This window comes from Homo sapiens, chromosome X, assembly GCF_000001405.40.
Source record: "Homo sapiens chromosome X, GRCh38.p14 Primary Assembly".
NCBI lineage: Eukaryota > Metazoa > Chordata > Mammalia > Primates > Hominidae > Homo > Homo sapiens.
The window spans coordinates 101,076,234-101,096,574 of NC_000023.11; the positions used below are offsets into that span (position 1 = coordinate 101,076,234).

General features: G+C 44.4%; 1 protein-coding gene across 1 annotated transcript; it reads left to right on the forward strand.

Annotated features, from left to right (window-relative positions):
- Window positions 1–2,645: 2,645 nt before the first annotated feature.
- On the forward strand, window positions 2,646–20,134 carry TMEM35A (transmembrane protein 35A). Its single transcript, NM_021637.3, has 2 exons — window positions 2,646–2,889; window positions 18,340–20,134. The coding sequence occupies exons 1-2, from the start codon at window positions 2,770–2,772 to the stop codon at window positions 18,721–18,723; spliced, it is 504 nt and encodes a 167-aa protein (NP_067650.1). The 5' UTR covers window positions 2,646–2,769; the 3' UTR covers window positions 18,724–20,134.

Consider the following 20,341-nt stretch of genomic DNA (forward strand, 5'->3'; position numbering starts at 1 on the left):
GGGTCATGCAGCTGGAGGCTATAAGATTCTGAGCCTCCCTAAACTGCTCCAAAGATCAGTGTTTGAGATATTTTGTAGACCCTGCACTTGATAAATCAGCTGGCACCACCCAGATCAATAAACTGGCTCATGTGATCTTATGGCCCCCACCCAGGAACTGACTCAGCACAAGAAAACAGCTTTGACTCCCTATGATTTCATCCTTGACCAATCAGCACTCCTGGCTCACTGGCTTTCCCCGACCTACCAAGTTATCCTTAAAAACTCTGCTCCCCGGCCAGGCATGGTGGCTCACACCTGTAATCCCAGCACTTTGGGAGGCCGAGGCGGGCAAATCACCTGAGGTTAGGAGTTCGAGACCAGCCTGGCCAATATGGTGAAACCCTGTCTCTACTAAAAATACAAAAATTATCCAGGTGTGGTGGCATATGCCTGTAATCCCAGCTACTGGGGAGGCTGAGGCAGGAAAATCACTTGAACCCAGGAGGTGGAGGTTGCAGCAAGCCTAGATTGCACCACTGCACTCCAGCCTGAGCGACAGAGCAAGACTTTGTCTCAAAAAAGCACAACAAAACAAGCAAACAAAAAACTTTGCTCCCCAAATGGTCAGGGAGACTGATTTGAGTAATAAAACTCTGGTCTCCCGCATGTGGGCTCTGCGTGAATTACTCTTTCTCTGTTGCAATTCCCCTGTCTTGATGAATGGGCTCTGTCTAGGCAGCGGGCAAGGTGAACCCCTTGGGAGGTTACAGTTTCACCATGCTGGTCAGGCTGGTCTTGAACTCCTGACTTCAGGTGATCTGCCTGCCTCGGCCTCCCAAATTGCTGAGATTATAGGCGTGAGCCACCACGCCTGGCCATGCATCACATTTTTATTTGTAAAAGTAAAAACCATGGAAACAACATCAATATCTAGCAATAGGATGCAAAATGAATGAGAACTATAGTACATTCAAGTGATGCTAAAGTTTTATACAATCATTAAAAATGATTGTTTAGGGCTGAGCATGGTGGCTCATGCCTGTAATCCCAATGCTTTGGCAGGCCAAGGCAGGAGGATCGCTGGAGCCCAGGAGTTCAAGACCAGCCTGGTTGACATAAGGTAGCCCCATGTCTACAGAAAATAAAAAATAAATTACCCGGGTGTGGTGACACGTGCCTGTAGTCCCAGCTACTTGAGAGACTTGTAGTCCCAGCTACAAGAGAGAGCCTCTCACTTGAGCCCACGAGGTTGAGGTTGCAGAGGGAGACCCTCTGCAGGGTCTCAAAAAAAAAAAAAATCGTGTAGGGCTGGGCTCCGTGGCTCATGCCTGTAATCGCAACACTCTGGGAGGCCGAGGCGGAAGGATCCCTTGAATCCAGGAGTTAGAAATCAGCCTGGACAACATCACAAGGCTCTGACTCCACAAAAAATAAAAAAATTAGCCAGGCATGGCGGCATGTGCCTGTGATCCCAGCTACTCCGGAGGCTGAGATGGAGGATCACTTGAGTGAGACTTTGTCTCTAAACAAAACAAAACTCTGTGTGTGTGTGCGTGAGCATTTACAGTGCTAAACAACTTTAAGTACCACACTAATAGTGAAAAATATTACAGGAGAGGCAGCAGAGCAATTGTTAAGAGCCTGGGCCCTAGAAATGACTGCCTAGGTTTGAGGCCTGGCTCTCCACTTACTAGCTGTATACTCCTGGGCAAGTTACCTACCTTCCCAGCCCCTCAATGTGCCCATTCATAGCATGGGGACTCATACCTAGTCCATAGTGTTGCTGTAAAGATTAAATTAGTTAATACAAGTAGAGGGCAGCGTCTAGCATCTAGTAAACAGTTGACAATTATTGGTTATTGTTATAGAAAATTGGAGGAGGGAGAAATCATATCTAACTGACAATGGATCAGGAAAGGCTTTATAGAGGAGGTGACATTAAAGAAAAGGTTTAATGCTAATGAAGAGTGATGGTGGGGGGCGGGGTCAAAAGATAGGGAGTTAAAGGTAGAGGAGGTGGTAAGGCGTAGGTTGTGTGAGGCCGTGAGTAGATAGATGAGTGGTGGCGTGTGGCAGTGGGAGCCATTGAAAACTAAATCTCCAAAGAGAGACAGGGGTCAAAATGTGGAGGGCCTTGAATTCCAAATTTAAAACTGGAGTTAACCACTGGCTATGAGAGTCATTAAAGATTTCTGAGCAAGAGAAAGAGGAAGCCTTCTTTGGCAGCATTGAAGGCTGACAAATTTGCAGTTTTATCCTTGAGTGTTACGAACTTCAGAAACAACTCTCTGAGGGCTAATATTTTGATTTAGGAAAAGGAAAGGGGGACACAAAGGAAGAGATGGAAAAAGGGAGTGAATAACTGAAGGATGATAAGTGGGAGGGGGAGATGAAAAGTGAGCCCGGTGGGAAGGTGGCAGCAAAGCCTGTCTTCCCTAATTCCTCATTCCTGGGGTCACTTGGTGACTGAACTCATACATAACCTCCCTTCTCCCCATTTAAGATTTGAAGTTTCCGTCTTTCCTTTAGGGCTTCATTTAACTTCGAGACTGTCCTTTTGGCCTGTGAGCACACGTAGGGCATTAGGACCCAGCGTTTGTTGTAGTGAGAGTGGTTGAATCTCGATCTCTCAATTTTTCTCTCGAGCTCCCTCCTCTCCCTTTGTCATTCTAGCTGCCTGCTGCCTCCGCAGCGTCCCCCCAGCTCTCCCTGTGCTAACTGCCTGCACCTTGGACAGAGCGGGTGCGCAAATCAGAAGGATTAGTTGGGACCTGCCTTGGCGACCCCATGGCATCCCCCAGAACCGTAACTATTGTGGCCCTCTCAGTGGCCCTGGGACTCTTCTTTGTTTTCATGGGGACTATCAAGCTGACCCCCAGGCTCAGCAAGGATGCCTACAGTGAGATGGTAAGTGAAGCAAACGGGTGATGAGGAGCGCACTCCCATGGGATTGCGAGGACCTCTCCCCTTTTTTCCTTCTCAGTTTCTGGTCCCACCCCCTTAGCCCCTATCCCCACCTGGACCCTCCGTTCTCAACAACTTTGCAGCTCGGAAGGAGCAGCTGGGCAAGAGCGATTTCTTTTGTGGGCTATGCTGTTCTGGAGCCACTGAATGCCAGTTGGGGGAGGGGTTGCGCAGCGAATACCCCCCATCCCAAGTAAACCAGAAGGCTGAGACCTGCGTAGCACCTGTCATTGGCAGGAGCCCTTCCCTCCTTCCAGCACACACCCAAAGTCCGGGCAACCAGTATACAAGTCTGATTCCCTCCCTGTGAGCTAAGAGTTTAGCAAGCGGAGAGTTTATTTATTTTAGAGCAGAACAAAAGGGAAAGAGGAAAAGAGCTGGGAAAAATGGGCTACTAAAACAAGCAATTTTTAGGGGCTGACTGGTATTCCTCATCCCAGGCAGACAGCTGATAGTATTCCTCCAGCCACCTGGGTATGTATCTGGATCCTTGAGACAAAGCATTCTTGGCCCAAATAAAGGTCACTAAGCTCTTGTTTCTTCCCCTTCTCTCAAGGGAGAGCTAGATGTTTTGTTTTATTTTGTTTTGTGTGTGGGGTAATCTACAAAATCTGCAAAGTCTGCTTTTTCTCTCCCGCAAACAGTCCGTAATCCCCACCTTGCCTTCTGTGGATGACCAGAGCCAGGCCCTCTGCAGGTTTTCCCCTCTGCAGAGTTGGAATCAATCACGGAAGGTGACTGGCCAAAACATCTCCTCTGCAACCTGGGGGCTGGGCTGCTTTCCCCAGTTGGGCGTGATGAGGACTTGCTCTTATGCTGTGGAGTACTAGGAGATGGCAGGGAATGTTTCCAGCACTTTCGGGTCTGTCCCTTCTTCCCCTGTCACTTTGCCTCTTCTTTTCCCCACCCCAGCTGCTTCTCGTCGCCTTTGCCAGACTTCCAATAATGGGAAGGAGCACATCATTGGGCTCTCAAGGTCAAGAGAGAAAGGAGCTTAGGGGAGGAACAGAAGGGGAAAGAGAAAAGAGGCAAGCCCTTTTAGGGCTGAGGCAGGGAGGAACAGCCTCACACATTGCGAGGAATTCATAGCTCTCCTGAACCCACTGCAGAGCTTTCCAGGGCCCCTTAACGTGAGCTGCAAATGGATGGAGACTGGCAAATTATATTAATAGATGCTCAGAAAATGTTTGCAGGCAGCTCTGGCTTCTGTCTCAGGGTTTAAGCTGGAGCTTTCCATTTCTTCCTCACCGCAGGATCACCCTAGGGTTGGGGAGGGTGACAAGGGCTTAGGTCTAGCCCCAGTGGCAAATCCTTACATGCTTCTCCTTCTCCCTTCCCCTCCTCCCAGCATGTTTGACCAGATGGAATTGAAATCAGGTCAAAATGAGTACCCGAGGCAGCCTGCACTGGGAGAAGAGGGACAGGGTGGGGTAGCAGAAGCCACCAAATGGCTTGAAGAGGTTGGGACAGAGGGACAGGGTGGAGGGGAAATGCCATTATATTTCTGTCTTGGTGGTAGCAGTTTGGTGTTAGATTATGAATAAATGAACATGCTCTTGCTTTACTTTTCATATGTACATATATTTATATATTTGTGTGTGTGCATCATAGGTATGTGTAAGCTTTCCCTAGCCTTAGGGACACACTACCTTTCTTCAGTATACTCCCTGCCCTCCAGACCCTAGTCAGCTGCTTCAGAGGCCCCCCCAAGCTGCACCCTAAGTACAGTGTTAGGCTCTGCAGGCAATCCAACTAAGATGGAGTCACCGGGAAGCTTCCTACCAGCTTAGCAGGAGCTCACAAGGAGGACCAGCCACAAATGGGTTTACAGTATGTTTCTTCCTAGAAATGGAGCTGTCTAGTGCAGCCTAATGAAAGGCAGAAGAAACAAATATGAAGATTTCATATCATACATAGGAACATATTTAAATAGATATAGTGTAACACAGCAATATAGAACCATTGTGTGTGGGTGTGTATGCACACTTCTGCACTTCTGTGCTAGGGGCATCTAGAGGGAATGGAAAGATTGTATCTAACTGAGAAGTAGACGTCACAATAGTTTGAAGAGGATTTTCAGACTGCCCTTTTCCAGGGTCCTCTCCTGCATTGAGCATCGGGCCATAGACTGGAGATTGCTCTCTGGCATAAAGCCTACTGCATAGTGCCTGGGCTTGGCCCAGCTTTATTCTCGTTCCCATAGGAAAGGGAGGGAAATTCAGTTCTAGTACAGAGAAGGTGCTCAATATGTATTTGTGGAGTGGTTGGGTGAATGAATGAGTCATTGTAGCATTGCCTTGGCTTGTTACCACCCTTCAGATTTCTCTGTTTGGCTCTTGATTATGCAGTTCAGGAGCCATTTCTTGCCTCTTAGAGGGACTCTCTAAGAAGCCCCTGTCTCTCAGAGGCAGAGTCTCTCAGAACCCCAACCCTAGATCAGCTGGGATGATTATCTGGGATTTTTTGTTTTCCATTAAGGAGTGGATTCCTCTGCATCGAGGAGGTTAGTCATGTATTGACTGCAGTGGCATTTCTTATAAGATCTCAAAGCGTTGTTGCTGCTGTTGTTGTTTTAAGATTATTTGTTCTTTAGAACATGTCTGTGAGGTAGATTTAGTGTATTCGTTATTTTTATTTTACTGATGGATAAACTAAAGCAGAACAAGTTTAATGACATATCCAAGGCCAGAAAGGTAAGCTGTTGTTGGAGCAGAGATGAGAAACCAAGTCCATGACTCAATACTCCCAATAGAAAGATCATTAATGGTTAAAACTGTTGGTTTTTATGGATGCCAGAACTGACAACCGATTCTTGAGAACACCTGGCACAGTCTTCCTCCTTTTATTGTACCAGTTTAACTGCCCAATGCATATTTTCAATTTTGTTTTACTACAAAATCAATTTTTAAAATTTAGATTTTTGATTTGATTTCTTTTTTCTTTTTCTTTCTTTCTTTTTTTTTTTTTTTTTTTTTTTGCTTTTCTGCCAACTATTTTTTTTCTTGTTTTAAAATCATTTGTGTAATTCTTAGGTGTTATCTTCTCCAGGGAGAATCATTGCTAAAAAACCAAACAAATGACTATGAACTTTTCTCCTGTTTCTACTGGAGAAGCCAGCAAGGGTTAGTGGAAAGAGTGCAGGCTTTATGGTCACACAGGCTTGGGTTCAGGTCCTGCTACTCTTGGTGTCTCAGTTTCTTTATTCTTAAAATGGGGATAAGAATGCCTACCACTTAAGAAACAGACCATCCTAAGGGCGGGGGGTGGGGGGAAGGAGTGCCTACCTTAGAAGGCTGTAAACATTAACTGAGATTATGTATAAAAGTGTCTGGTACAGTGTTTGCTATAGTATGTGTTCAAGAAATGCTTTGGGTGAGGTGATTATGATAAGTAATTCTGTTTTATGGAGTGGTTTCCTAACTGATTTAAATAGCTAGTTTAAGGGATTGAAATCAAGCATATATATATATTTATTTATTTATGAGACGGAGTTTTGCTCTTGTTGCCCAGGCTGGAGTGCAATGGTATGATCTTGGGTCACTGCAACCTCTGCCTCCCGGGTTCAAGCGATTCTCCTGCCTCAGCCTCCGGAGTAGCTGGGATTACAGGTGCGTGCCACCATGCCTGCCTAATTTTTGTATTTTTAGTAGAGATGGGGTTTCACTGTGTTGGTCAGTCTGGTTGCGAACTCCTGACCTCAGGTGATCCACCCATCTCAGCCTCCCAAAGTGCTGGGATTACAGGTGTGAGCCACCACCCCCAGCCTGAAATCAAGCATTTAGAAGAACAAGATGCTATTTTCATGTGCCCTTGTGGACAGACCTTTATGCAATCAATTAATATTGAAAAATCCACACTTGCTGCTGTGTAGTGTACAGTGGATCTCATGCAGAACTTCCAGATGCATCTCTGAATAGCCCATTTGGCATGTGTTGTCCCATACCTCCTCCAGATTTAGCAAGTATCATTATAGAGTACTCTAAATCCCACGTGAATTCAACATGACTGGCCACTCCCTTGACTAAATGCCTTTATTAGTTCACTTGAAAATGGGAGACAGCCCTTAAAAGTGCTGGGACGCAGTTTCCTGTGCAGTGACTGGGAACATATAAATAGTTGGCTTGCTTTAAATCTGGTGTTCAGCTTTTTGTAGTAGTGGCTTCATCCTGTAAGCACAGGGGACCACATATGAAAAGATAAGAAAACACCAAAATCCTGGTGACAATAAAGCCAAGAGATTTTGGTCCTGAGGATGACTGGGCAAGTCCCTGATTCTTTGCATCCCCTCATAGTAAAGGTTTGTTGATTTGATTTATTTGTTTATGTGTAGTTAAGTGCCCTTCTGTTTATGTAATCCTGAGGAAACACTCCCAATATGTTTGGGCAGTTTATTTAATGTCCATAGGTAATCTTTTAAGCTTCCAATCACTGCTATTAATTGCTTTCCAACTAGGTAATAAGATAGTAATTTACTGATGTTTAGACTGCTCTCTGAGGTGGTACAGTACATTTATTTTCAGAGAGGAAACCGAGACCCTGAGAGGTGAAGCAGCTTTGCTTAATTCACACAGCCTGCCATCACAAGCTAAACTACATATTAGAGTTTATGTTGGGGAGCTTGTAGCCTCTCAGTATGGACAAAAGCTGAGTTTGTTTCAGACAGATCTTTGACTGACAGTAGGAGTCAGTCTTCTGCCCTAAGATGCAATCTGGGAAGGGTCCACTTTGACTGGTACGATCAAGCATGCCAGCTTCCTCTTTAGGTGGGCATTACATGACAGTGGAAAGTAGAATAGGTCGGGAGTTCAAGACCAGGCTGACCAACATGGAGAAGCCCCATCTCTACTAAAAATACAAAATTAGCCAGGCATGGTGGCGCATGCCTGTAATCCCAGCTACTCTGGTGGCTGAGGCAAGAGAATCACTTGAACCTGGGAGGCGGAGGTTGTGCTGAACCGAGATCACACCATTGCACTCCAGCCTGGGCAACAAGAGGGAAACTCCATCTCAAAAAAAAAAAAAAAAAAAAAAAAGAAGGTGTTTAGCATTCATGTGGCAATTTGGCAATTAAATATGTAATGGCTTTTTATTACATTTAAACAATGATCTATGATTCACACAGGCTTTATTTCTTACAGAGATTCAGAAAAATCACACATGAGTCAGTACATTTTGCAGCACTTATGTAGGCTTTATGGTTTAAGATAGCAACCAGGCTGAGATTTTTTGCCAAAATATATTTTTATCAGTGCTTTCTTCTGCTTTCATATAGTTTTTTTTCCTTGTAAATCTTATTGAAGTATAACATATATACTGAAACATGCACATAGCATAAGTATGCAGCTCAAGGAATTTTCAGAACATTCCCATGTAACCCAGCACTCATATTAAGAAAAAGCACATTGCCAGGTGCTGTGGCTCACGCCTGTAATCCCAGCACTTTGGGAGGCCAAGGTGGGTGGATCACCTGAGGTCAGGAGTTCGAGACCAGCCTGGGCGACATGGCAAAACCCCGTTTCTACTAAAAATACAAAAATTAGCTGGGCTTAGTGGTGGGTACCTGTAATCCCAGCTACCTGGGAGGCTGAAGCAGGAGAATTGCTTGAACCCAGGAGGCAGAGGTTGCAGTGAGCCAAGATTGCACTACTGCACTACAGCCTGGACGACAGAGTTAGACTCCATCTCAAAAAACAAACAAACAAACAACACAAAACAAAAAGAAAAAAAACAAAAAAAACCCCACATGACCAGCACCCCAGAAACCTTCCTCATGGCCCCTTCCAGTTACTACCCCCATCAAGGGTAATTACTATCCTGACTTCTAACAACATAAGTCAATTGTACCTGATTTTGAATTTTATATAAATGGAATTCTACAGTATATTAGCCAATTTATCTTTTCCTTTTACCTAATTGGCATGAGTGAACTGAAGTGGACACTATTTGCCCTGTGTTCTCATTTTGTATTTTGTCCTGTTAGCTGGCTTGGGCTGGTTATTAATTGTAATCAAAGATTAATATTATTTGACAGTTTTGAGCTGTTCAAATATAATATCATTAATATGAGATCATGGATCCTGCTGTGTGGTGAAGAATAAATGACAAAAAGGAAAAAAAGGTATGACTAAAGAAAGGCTCTGGCTGGGCGCGGTCGCTCACGCCTGTAATCCCAGCACTTTGGGAAGCCAAGCTGGGCCGATCACCTGAGGCCAGGAGTTCTAGACCAGCCTGGCCAACATGGTGAAACCCCATCTCTACCAAAAATACAAAAATTAGTTGGGTGCGTCAGCGGGCGTCTGTAGTCCCAGCTGTTTGGGAGGCTGAGGCAGGAGAATTGCTTGAACCCGGGAGGTGGAGGCTGCAGTGAGCCGAGATCGTGCAGCTGCACTCTAGCCTGGGCGACAGAGTAAGAATCCATCTCAAAAAAAGAAAATAATAATAAATTAAAAAAATTAAAAGGCTCCATAGGCCAGGCGCATTGGCTCACACCTGTAATCCCAGCACTTTGGGAGGCTGAGGCGGGCGGATCACGAGGTCAAGAGATTGAGACCATCCTGGACAACATGGTGAAACCCTGTCTCTACTAAAAATACACACACACAAAAAAATTAGCTGGGCATGGTGGCACACACCTGTAATCCCAGCTACTCAGGAGGCTGAGGCTGGAGAATTGCTTGAACCCAGGAGGTAGAGGTTGCAGTGAGCCAAGATCGCGCCACTGCACTCCAGCCTGGCGACAGAGCGAGACTCTGTCTCAAAAATAAAAATAAAAATAAATAAAATTTAAAAATAACAAAAAATAAAAGGCTCCATATGCTTTTGACTCATGTCTGAATCATAATGTCCTCATACCACAAGAATGGATCTGCTTGATTCATCAATGATTTTGTTATTAAAATAATTACCGTGGCTTGCAAAAATATGGATTTCTAATTGTGTGGGTTTTTGTTTTTGTTTTTGAGACAGCATCTGGCTCTATCACTCAGGCTGGAGTGAAATGGCATGGTCTCGGCTCACCGCAACCTCTGCTTCCCAGGTTCAAGTGATTCTCCTGCCTCAGCCTCCCAAGTAGTTGGAACTACAGACGTGTGCCACCACGCTTGGCTAATTTTTGTATTTTTAGTAGAGATGGGGTTTTGCCATGTTGGCCGGGCTGGTCTCGAACTCCTGACCTCAAGTGATCCACCCATCTTGGCCTCCCACAGTGCTGGGGTTATAGGCGTGAGCCACTGCACCCGGCCTAATTGTGTGGTTCATTAATGATCAAATGTGTGTGTGTTGCCCTCAGCTGATGCTATGACACTTTGATTATTTACCTAAATCTCCAAAATGCTCATTTGATTTATTGAATCTGAGGGGAAACTGAGGTAATAAAATACTTAGTAATTTTCTCCAAGCAATTTAGTGGCAAAACTAAAATTGGAATTCAGCTTAAGAATCCCAGTCCAAGGATATTGCTAGATGATTGCCTTTGATTGCAGGGGTTTGAGACATTTAACTAAGCCCATCTTTTTCCTGTTTTTCTTCCCCCTATACGGAAACTATGGTTTCAGAGCCTGGGTTATTGCAGTGGAAAGAACACAGACCTAACAAAGTGAATTGCAAGAGCCTTTTAAGAAAGTGAATCTGTCAACTGTCTTTATTCTTACTATCCATACAATTAAAGTCTTTAGAGACCTAGTTACTATAGACTGAAGACATGTGACCCTTCTATTGTTTAACTTGAGGTGGCCTGGACCAAGCATAATGAGGGGGTTAGCAATAATAGGATTCTTTTTTTTTTTTTTTTTTTTTGAGAAGGGGTTTCGCTCTTGTTGCACAAGCTAGAGTGCCATGGTGTGGCCTCGGCTCACTGCGGCCTCTGCCTCCCGGGTTCAAGCAATTCTCCTGCCTCAGCCTCCCGAGTAGCTGGGATTACAGGCATGCGCCACTACACCCAGCTAATGTTGTATTTTTAGTAGAGATGGGGTTTCTTCATGTTTGTCAGGCTGGTCTCGAACTCCCAACCTCAGGTGATCCGCCCGCCTCAGCCTCCCAAAGTGCTGGGATGACAGGCGTGAGCCACTGCGCCCGGCCAATAGGATTCTTTTGATGTCGCTATTCTACTCCACAGGAGAAGATTGATGGCTTCCTATAATGTCAAGACCCATCCAAGCTTAGTCCCATCTCCAATAAACTAAACATTCCCTCTTTGGAGTCCTAGAAAATAAATCCTGTCTGTACCTACTCAGTTTTCAATGAAAGATTTGATTAAATGGTGTATCCACATGCAGTTTTCTCTTGAGAAACAGAGGAAAGAAAGAAGCAACAGCGGCATAAAAATATACACAGCTGCAGTTTAAGAGGTTAGCTAAACTAAAAAAGTAATACGCCGTTCTACTAAATGGAGAGAAAAAAGATTACTGAAGTTATAGGAACTTGATTTAAAACATGGAGTTTGGCCCCGGGCTACAGATTGCACTATAGTATAGATAAGAGTTTGTACCTGAATAATGGGTGGTTAAGCCCTAGTCAAAAAAGAAGTGTTTCCAGAAGCCATTCAGCCAGCATCTGGAAGTCTTGGCTCCTAACTGACTATAAGAAACTCATCCTGGGCTGGGCACATAACAAGGTCAGGAGTTTGAGACGAGCCTGGCCAACATAGTGAAATGTGGTGAAGTGTCTCTACTAAAAATACAAAAAATTAGCTGGGCATGGTGGCAAGCGCCTGTAGTCCCAGCTACTCAGGAGGCTGAGGCGGGAGAATCACTTGAACCTGGGAGGCGGAGGTTGTGGTGAGCCGAGATCGTGCCACTGCACTCCAGCCTGGGCGACAGAGTGAGACTCCATCTCAAAATAAATAAATAAAATAAAAATAAAAATACAAAAATTAGCCGGGCATGGTGGTGCGCGCCTGTAGTCACAGCTACTTGGGAGGCTGAGGTAGAAGAATCACTTGAATCCAGGAGACAGAGGTTGCAGTGAACTGAGATCATGCCACTGCACTCCAGCCTGGGTGACAGAGCCAGATTCCATCTCAAAAAAAACAAAAAACAAAAAACAAAACAACTCATCCTGTCTTTTGTGTTTATCACATCAGAAGTTTACACTTAGGATTTAGGAATTGCCTCTTGAGAACTTTTGTGTTGCTAATTAGAAATGGCCCTTACTGGGCAACCGTGGTGGCTCACGCCTGTAATCCCAACACTTTGGGAGGCTGAGGCAGGAGGATCACTTGAGCCCAGGAGTTTGAGACAGGCCTAGGCAACATAGTGAGACCCAGTCTCTACAAAAAAACTTAAAAGAGATTAGCCAGGCATGGTGGCACAAGCCTGTAGGCCCAGCTAACTCGGGAGGCTGAGGCGGGAGGATCACTTGAGCCTGGGAGGTCGAGGCTGCAGTGAGCCCTGATGGTGCTGCTGTACTCCCGCCTGGGTGACAGCGAGACCCTCAGAAGTGTTAAGAGGCCAGGCGTGGTGGCTGACGCCTGTAATCCTAACACTTTGGGAGACCGAGGCAGGTGGATCACCTGAAGTCAGGAGTTCGAGAAGAGCCTGGCCAACATGGTGAAAACCAGTCTCTACTAAAAATACAAAAATTAGCTGGATGTGGGGTACATGCCTGTAAACACAGCTACTCGGGAGGCTGAGGCAGGAGAATCGCTTGAGCTAGGGAAGCATAATTTGCAGTGAGCCGAGCCACTGCACTCCAGTGTGGGTGACAGAGTGGGATTCTGCCTCAAAAAAAAAAAGTGTTATGGAAGCCTCTGGGGTCTACATTTTTTCCCCGTAATGTCCCCCTGCTACCATCACCAGGATGCAAAGGGAGAAGGATAAGGCAAGTGGCATGTATTTAGGTTAATGAGAGGAAAGGGGTGGGCTTCTCACCACCACCAGGTACCCTAAACCTCAGCTCAGCTCTGCCCCACATGGGTCTGGCCCCTTTCAGCCCAAGGTTTTACTCTGCCTACTGGTCAACCTCTCTCCTAATTTCTCTATGAAAAATCCTTGATTTAATCTAAGATGGGAAGAGAGAGGAAGAATGACTAACACTTTGTATTTCCATATAGGCTCAGGAATAGGGTAGGAACTAGGGTGAGGTGGAATTTTAAATAAGGACAGTCTCTGACAAGGCAGGTTTAGGGAGAAGTGAGTGAAGCAGGGTCGTGCAAGTGTAGCGTCGGAGCCTACCTTTATTTAAAAGTTTCATATCTTGTTCATCATGGATATTATTTACCTAATCAGTGAGTGTTTTTGGTGCCCTCTTAAATTTTCCACCCAAGGTAAGTAGCCTTGCTGACTTTACCTTACTCCAGGCTTGTTCAGGACCTTTCAAATAATTTGCTCAGAGACACCCAACTAGAAAGCGGCAGGATCACTTTGGAAAGTTAAGGCAGGCCACATAGCCAGGGGCTGTCTCTAAAAAAAAAAAAAAAAAAATTAGCCGGGCATGATGGTGCATACCCTGTAGTCCCAGCAACTTAGGAGGCTGAGGCAAGGTGGGAGAATTGCTTTTGAGCCCCAGAGGTAGAGGCCGTAGTGAGCTCTGATCCCACCACTGCACTCCAGCCTCAGTGACAGAATGACAGTCCATATCAAAGAAAAAAAAAAAAAAAGGCTAGAAAGTGGCAGAGCTGGGATTTGACGCTAAGTCTGTTTGCATCCAAACCATGCTTTTTTCTAAACCATTAGTCTTTTAAGAGTCCTCATAGGCGATTATCTTGGGCCACTCATGATAATTAATCCATTAAGTAAAGGTGCATTCACTTGTTAATATTTGTTCCAAATCTAGAGTGTGTGAACACTATTTTAAGTGCCAGATGCTTCTGAGAGGTCAAGTTGGCTTTCTGCCTCATTCTTACACTTGTCTAGCATTTGGCACTTTTGACTATTCTCTTCTTAAAACTTATCTTGGTGTCCATGACCTGGTCTCTCCTGGTTTTCCTCCTGCTTTTCTAACCATACTTTCTTCTATCTGCTTTGTGGACTCTGTCTTTCCATTTCTTTCTTTCTTTTTTTTTTTGAGACAGAGTCTTGCTCTGTTGCCCAGGCTGGTGCCATCTTGACTCACTGAAACCTCTGCCTCCTGGGCTCAAGTGATTCTCGTGCCTCAGCCTCCCGGATAGCTGGGATTACAGGTGCATGCCACCACGCCCGGCTAATTTTTGTATTTTTTTTTTTTTTTTTTGTAGTAGAGACAGGGTTTCGCCATATTGGCCAGGCTGGTCTCAAACTCCTGGCCTCAAGTGATCTGCCCGCCTCGGCCTCCCAAACTGCTGGGATTACAGGTTTGTGCCATCACGTCCGGCCTCTCTTTCCATTTTTTAAATGTCTGTCATGCATTTTTTTCCCACTGTATATACCCTCCCTGGGCATACTAATGACCATCCATTCTCTATCTTTAGTCCAGACTTCTCTTACTGAGCTGCCTTACCAGTCATCTACACTTGGATGCCTTAGAGGTACTTCAACTCAAAACCCCCAAATTGAGTTCCTCATTCTTTCCTGATCCCTGACCCCCGCATTCTGTTCCTCCTGATTATCTGATATATACCCATACTTAGAGAATGGTAACACCTATCTATCTCTCCAGCACCCAAGCCAGAGACCTGAGAATCATTCTTGACTCTTCCCTTTCCCTCAGTGCCCACATCCAATGAGACACCAAGTTCTGTAGAATTTTTTTTTTTTTTTTTTGAGACGGAGTCTTGTTCTGTTGCCCAGGCTGGAGTGCAATGGCGTGATCTCGGGTCACCGCAACCTCTGCCTCCTGGGTTCAAGCAATTCTCCTGCCTCAGCCTCCAGAGTAGCTGGGACTTATAGGCATGTGCCACCACGCCTGGGTAATTTTTTTTGTATTTTTAGTAGAGACGGAGTTTCATCATGTTGGCCAGACTGGTCTCGAACTCCTGACCTCAGGCGATCCACCCGCCTCGGCCTCCCAAAGTGCTGGGATTACAGGCGTGAGACACTGCACCCGGCCAGATTTTGCTTTCAAAGCATTCCTCTACTCTGTCCCCTTCCCGTGTCCTCACTGCCATTATGCTAGTCCACATCTCTTACCTGATCTCTTTGTTTCCAGGCATACTTCCCCCAATTCATCCTCCACACTATTTCTAGAGGGACCATCTTTTCTCTCTCTCTCTTTTTTTTTTTTTTTTTCCAGACAGGGTCTTGGTCTGCCTCCCAGGCTGCAGTACGTTGGCACGATCACAGCTCACTGAAGCCTTGAACTCCTGGGCTCAGGCAATCCTACTATCTCAGCCTCCCAAATAGCTGGGACTACAGGCACACACTGCCACGCCCAGCTAATTTTTTAAAAACTTTTTGTAGAGACAGGGTCTCACTATCTTGTCCAGGCTGGTTTGCACTCCTGGGCTCAATCGATCCTCCTGCCTTGGCCTCCCAAAGTGTTGGGATTACAGGCGTGAGCCACCATGCCCGGCCTATTTCCAGAGGGAATTTCTTTAAAAGTTCCTCCTGGCTTATAAGACAAAGTCCAGCTCCACAGCAGAACAGATATTGTTCTCCATGATCTAATTCATATTTATCTCTCCTATTTCATGTCTCCCCTCCTTCCCTTCCCTCTATCACCCTATGCTGAACTGAAGTGGTATTTGGCCATATTTGGTGTGTCAGGGTCTTTGCTCATCCAGCTTCCTCTGCCTGCAGTGCCATTTCCTTTTTTATCTTGCAAACACCTGCTCTACTTTTTTTTTGAGATGGAGTTTCAGGCTGGAGTGCCTCACCACCCACTTTTAAGATTCCACTCCAAATTTTCTGTCACCATCTAGGGAGATTTGACCACTCCCTCTGGTGTGCCTATACTGTTCCTGCTACATAATTGTATCCAGCACTTATAACACTTTATTGCACTTGTGTATTTACATATCCGCTCTTCCCCTTATAAACTTCAAGCTTCAGGAAGACAGGACCTTTGAATAACTGACACTTATATCCAGAGTATCCAGAACAGTGCCTAGCACAAGGAGGCACTTAATAAATATTGAACTCAGATGAGAGCACCTCCTGGAAAGCAAAAAAAAAAGAAAAGAAAAAAGAGAAAATAAACATTGAATGAATGAATGGATACTAAAAGAAAACAAAGCAGTGGACCAACCCAATAAGACACTTGATAAAATCTCATCAATTTACTCCAAAATGAGGAACAGGCCAAAATGGATAGTGAAAAATATGAATGATCTGTAACTCTAAGATCAATATAATTCTGTTACTTTGTGATCTTATACAGATCTCTATTTATGTACCACTAACTGTGCTGCTTTATGTTGTTTACATATCTGTTTCCCCCTACTAGTCTGAAAGCTTCATGACCCTGTCTAATTTATCTCTGTATCATTGATGCAAAACCCATAATAGGTGTACAATAAATATTTCTTGAATCAAAATTAAGGAATGAGGCTGGGCGCAATGGCTCACACCTGTAATTCCAGCACTTTGGGAGGCCAAGGTGGGCAGATCACCTGAGGTCAGGAGTTCGAGACCAGCCTGGCCAACATGGCGAAACCCCATCTCTACTAAAAATACAAAAAAAAAAAAAAATCAGCCAGGTGTGGTAGTGCATGGTAGCTATGTGGGAGGCTGAGGCAGGAGAATCGCTTGAACCTGGGAGGCGGAGGTTGCAGTGAGCCAAAATTCCACCACTGCACTCCAGCCTGGGCGACAGAGTGAGACTCCGTCTCAAAAGAATAAAAATAAATAAATAAAATAAAATAAAATTTAAGGAATGAAGCTAGCCAAAGTAGCTTCTTATAAAGGTTTGGGGATTTATCTCAATGAAATGAGAATGATTTTGTCTTACTATATTTTAAAGATATATAAAGGGCTGACATTTGCATACATTTTTATTTTTCTATTTTCTCAGCAAACACTTTCATTTTTATAGATTCTACAAATATAAACTCCAGCTTCGCTCTTTTCTGAAATATAACAAATTCCAATTTAGGGAAGTTCAAATTAGTGAATCTTTACCATACTGTGCCTTACCTTGTTTCATTTTGCTTAGTATTCATATGCATCTGGGTTTTGACAAAGCAGGCACTAGAAAATATGGATGTGGCTAACATGTACCAGTTTTTATGGGCCTAGTGAATTTTTAAAAAATTCTTTTTATTTATTTATTTATTTGCTTATTTATTTATTTATTTATTTTTGAGATGGAGTCTTGCTCTGTCGCCCAGGCTGGAGCGCAGTGGCACGATCTTGGCTCACTGCAACTTCTGCCTCCTGGGTTCAAGTGATTCTCCTGTCTCAGCCTCCCGAGTAGCTGGGATTACAGGCATGCCCCACCACACCCGGCTAATTTTTGTATTTTTAGCAGAGATGGGGTTTCACCATGTTGGCCAGGCTGTTCTAGACCTCCTGACCTCAGGTGATCTGCCCACCTCGGCCTCCCAAAATGCTGGGATTACAGGCGTGAGCCACTGCACCCGGCTAAAAAAAAGTATTAATGCTATTTATGATTTATAATCATAAATGCTTTTAAACTATAAAATCAAATTATTCGCCTTATTACCTTTGGTGCTTGTCTTAGTCCATTCAGACTGGTATAATAAAATAGCATAAACTGGGTAGCTTATAAACAACAGAAATTTATTTCTCATAGTTCTGTAGGCTGAGAAGTCCAAGATCAAGGTGGGAGCAGTTTGGTGTCTATTGAGGGCCCACTTTCTCTTCACAGATGGTGCCTTCTAACTGTGTCCTCACATGGCAGAAGGGGCAAGTCAGCTCTCTGAGGCCTCTGTTATAAAGGAATTAATCTCATTTAGGAACACTCCACCCTCATGGACATAATCATTTCCCAAAGCCCCACCTACTAATACCATCATCTTGGGGGTTATGATTTCAACATATGGTTTTTGTTGGGGACACAAACATTCAGACCATAGCAAAGATGCTACTAAGGTTTAAATCACAGGGATTCCAGCAGATTGCTTGTGTTTGGATTTTTTTTTTTTGATGGAGTCTCACTCTGTCGCCCAGGCTGGAGTGCAGTGGTGCAATCTCAGCTCGCTGCAATCTCCATCTCCCGAGTTCAAACCATTCTTGTGCCTCAGACTCCCAAGTAGCTGGGATTACAGGTGCCCGCCACCACTCCTGGCTAATTTTTGTATTTTTAGTAGAGATGGGGTTTCACCATGTTGGCCAAGCTGTCTCCAATTCCCGGCCTCAGGTGATCTGCCCACCTCGGCCTCCCAAAGTGCTGAGATTACAGGTGTGAGCCACTGTGCCTGGCCTCTTAGTTTAATTACATATAATTAAGATAAGAAAAATTATATATAATGGGACACCAGTGGCTGGTGTGAAAGGGGAGAGGACTCTGCTTGTGTTTTCTTCATTCTAATGTTAAAATCATGGTTAATGCAGTAATTTCCTTACAATATTCTCACTCTAGAAACGTGCTTACAAGAGCTATGTTCGAGCCCTCCCTCTGCTGAAGAAAATGGGGATCAATTCCATTCTCCTCCGAAAAAGCATTGGTGCCCTTGAAGTGGCCTGTGGCATCGTCATGACCCTTGTGCCTGGGCGTCCCAAAGATGTGGCCAACTTCTTCCTACTGTTGCTGGTGTTGGCTGTGCTCTTCTTCCACCAGCTGGTCGGTGATCCTCTCAAACGCTACGCCCATGCTCTGGTGTTTGGAATCCTGCTCACTTGCCGCCTGCTGATTGCTCGCAAGCCCGAAGACCGGTCTTCTGAGAAGAAGCCTTTGCCAGGGAATGCTGAGGAGCAACCCTCCTTATATGAGAAGGCCCCTCAGGGCAAAGTGAAGGTGTCATAGAAAAGTGGAAGTGCAAAGAGTGGACCTTCCAGGCAGTTGCGTCCATGACACCAGGAAGATGTCAGTGTGTGTTTTTCATTTGATTTATTTATCTTGGGGAAAGTGAAAAATGTAATCTGCAAGTTAATGACCCTATTGGCTTGTGTACATCTATATGCTAAAATGACTTCCCCACATTGACATTTGTGCGCCACCTTTAATCACTCTGGGGCAACTCTCACATCTTGCTGCATGTACATGTATACGGCTACTATTGAAGTGTAATTGTGAGATGGACTCCAACAAGCATGTGACTGTGAGATTGTGTGTGGGAAAATGTATTTAACTACTCTGTGTGTGTGTGTGTGTGTGTGTGCGCGCGCGCGCGCACGCGCACACACTCACGCACACACAAGCAGAGAAGGCGCTGATCTTGAACTAATCCTGCACAGGCATCCTTCCCTTTATAGATTGATTCCAGCAAAGGCGGAATAAAACAAATTTCCTATGAAGAGAATCCTGATATGAAACAAGTCATGTAGTCTCATGGCCGGGAATCTCTCCACAGATACTAACAACTTAAACTTACTACTTTAGGAGAAAAAAAAAAACATTCAATTTCGGACACTGAGTTATATATGAAATTAATTAGGCTCTAGTCCAACAGTTGTTTACATTTTAAATAGTCCATATTGAATTTAATTAAAACAAGGGATGCATGCAGTCAAATTGATAGTTTAATTCTTCAAGTGATAATATAGGAAGTTTCACCTTGCCTTTGTCCAAGCCCCACCTATTAAAACCCTTTACTCACAGTTTGAAACTGAAGCAGTAAACTTGTTTCCAGACATCTTTTTCAGATTGTCTTAAGCCCAAAGTTGCCTCACTTCCACTATTCTCAGCAGCCAACCAGGATTTGGCAGCTGCTCCACTGTTACGGTTGAGGGAACAGGGATCAGTCCTGTTAGAAGTCTGTGAGCCTCAAACTCTACCTGTTCTCTGCAATCATCCAAAATTTGAAAAAGAAGCTATATCCAGTGTTTCACTGCCAAACAGATTCACTACTCTTACTGATTCTTCACTGAGCTTTGCTAGTATAAGCAGAGTTCCAAGTCTCCCCTAGGGTTGTCTCTACATTTCTTTATCATTCCAGTGGGTAGGGTTTAGCTGGGGGAAGGACATTTCATAAGGGTTAGTTGGACTGAGCAGTATGGACATTTGCTTTTTTCATTACGTACTGTTGTTTTTCCTTGTTAGGTGTGCTTTGGTGGTTTTAATATTATTGTGCCAGGGATGGGGAAATGGGGGGGGTTGTGTGGGAAGAGTACTTATTATTGTGTTTTCTTCAGTGTAATTGTTCTTGGTAATTGATACCTCTCTGTTTTATTTCTCTCATTCTTTCAAAATAAAACTTTTTGAAATTTGGAGGAAACTGTCTGGACAAATACTGAAAATCTGGAAAGTAAGGATCATATCAAAGGATTTAGCCTCTCTTTTTCTGAGTCTGGCTGAAGGAGGAGAGGAAAGAGAAGAGGGAGTTTAATCACTTAATATGCTAATAAGGTTGCCAACTTTCCAATTTCCTTTTTTTCTTTTTCTTATTTTTTTTTTGAGACATGGTCTTGCTCTGTTGCCCAGG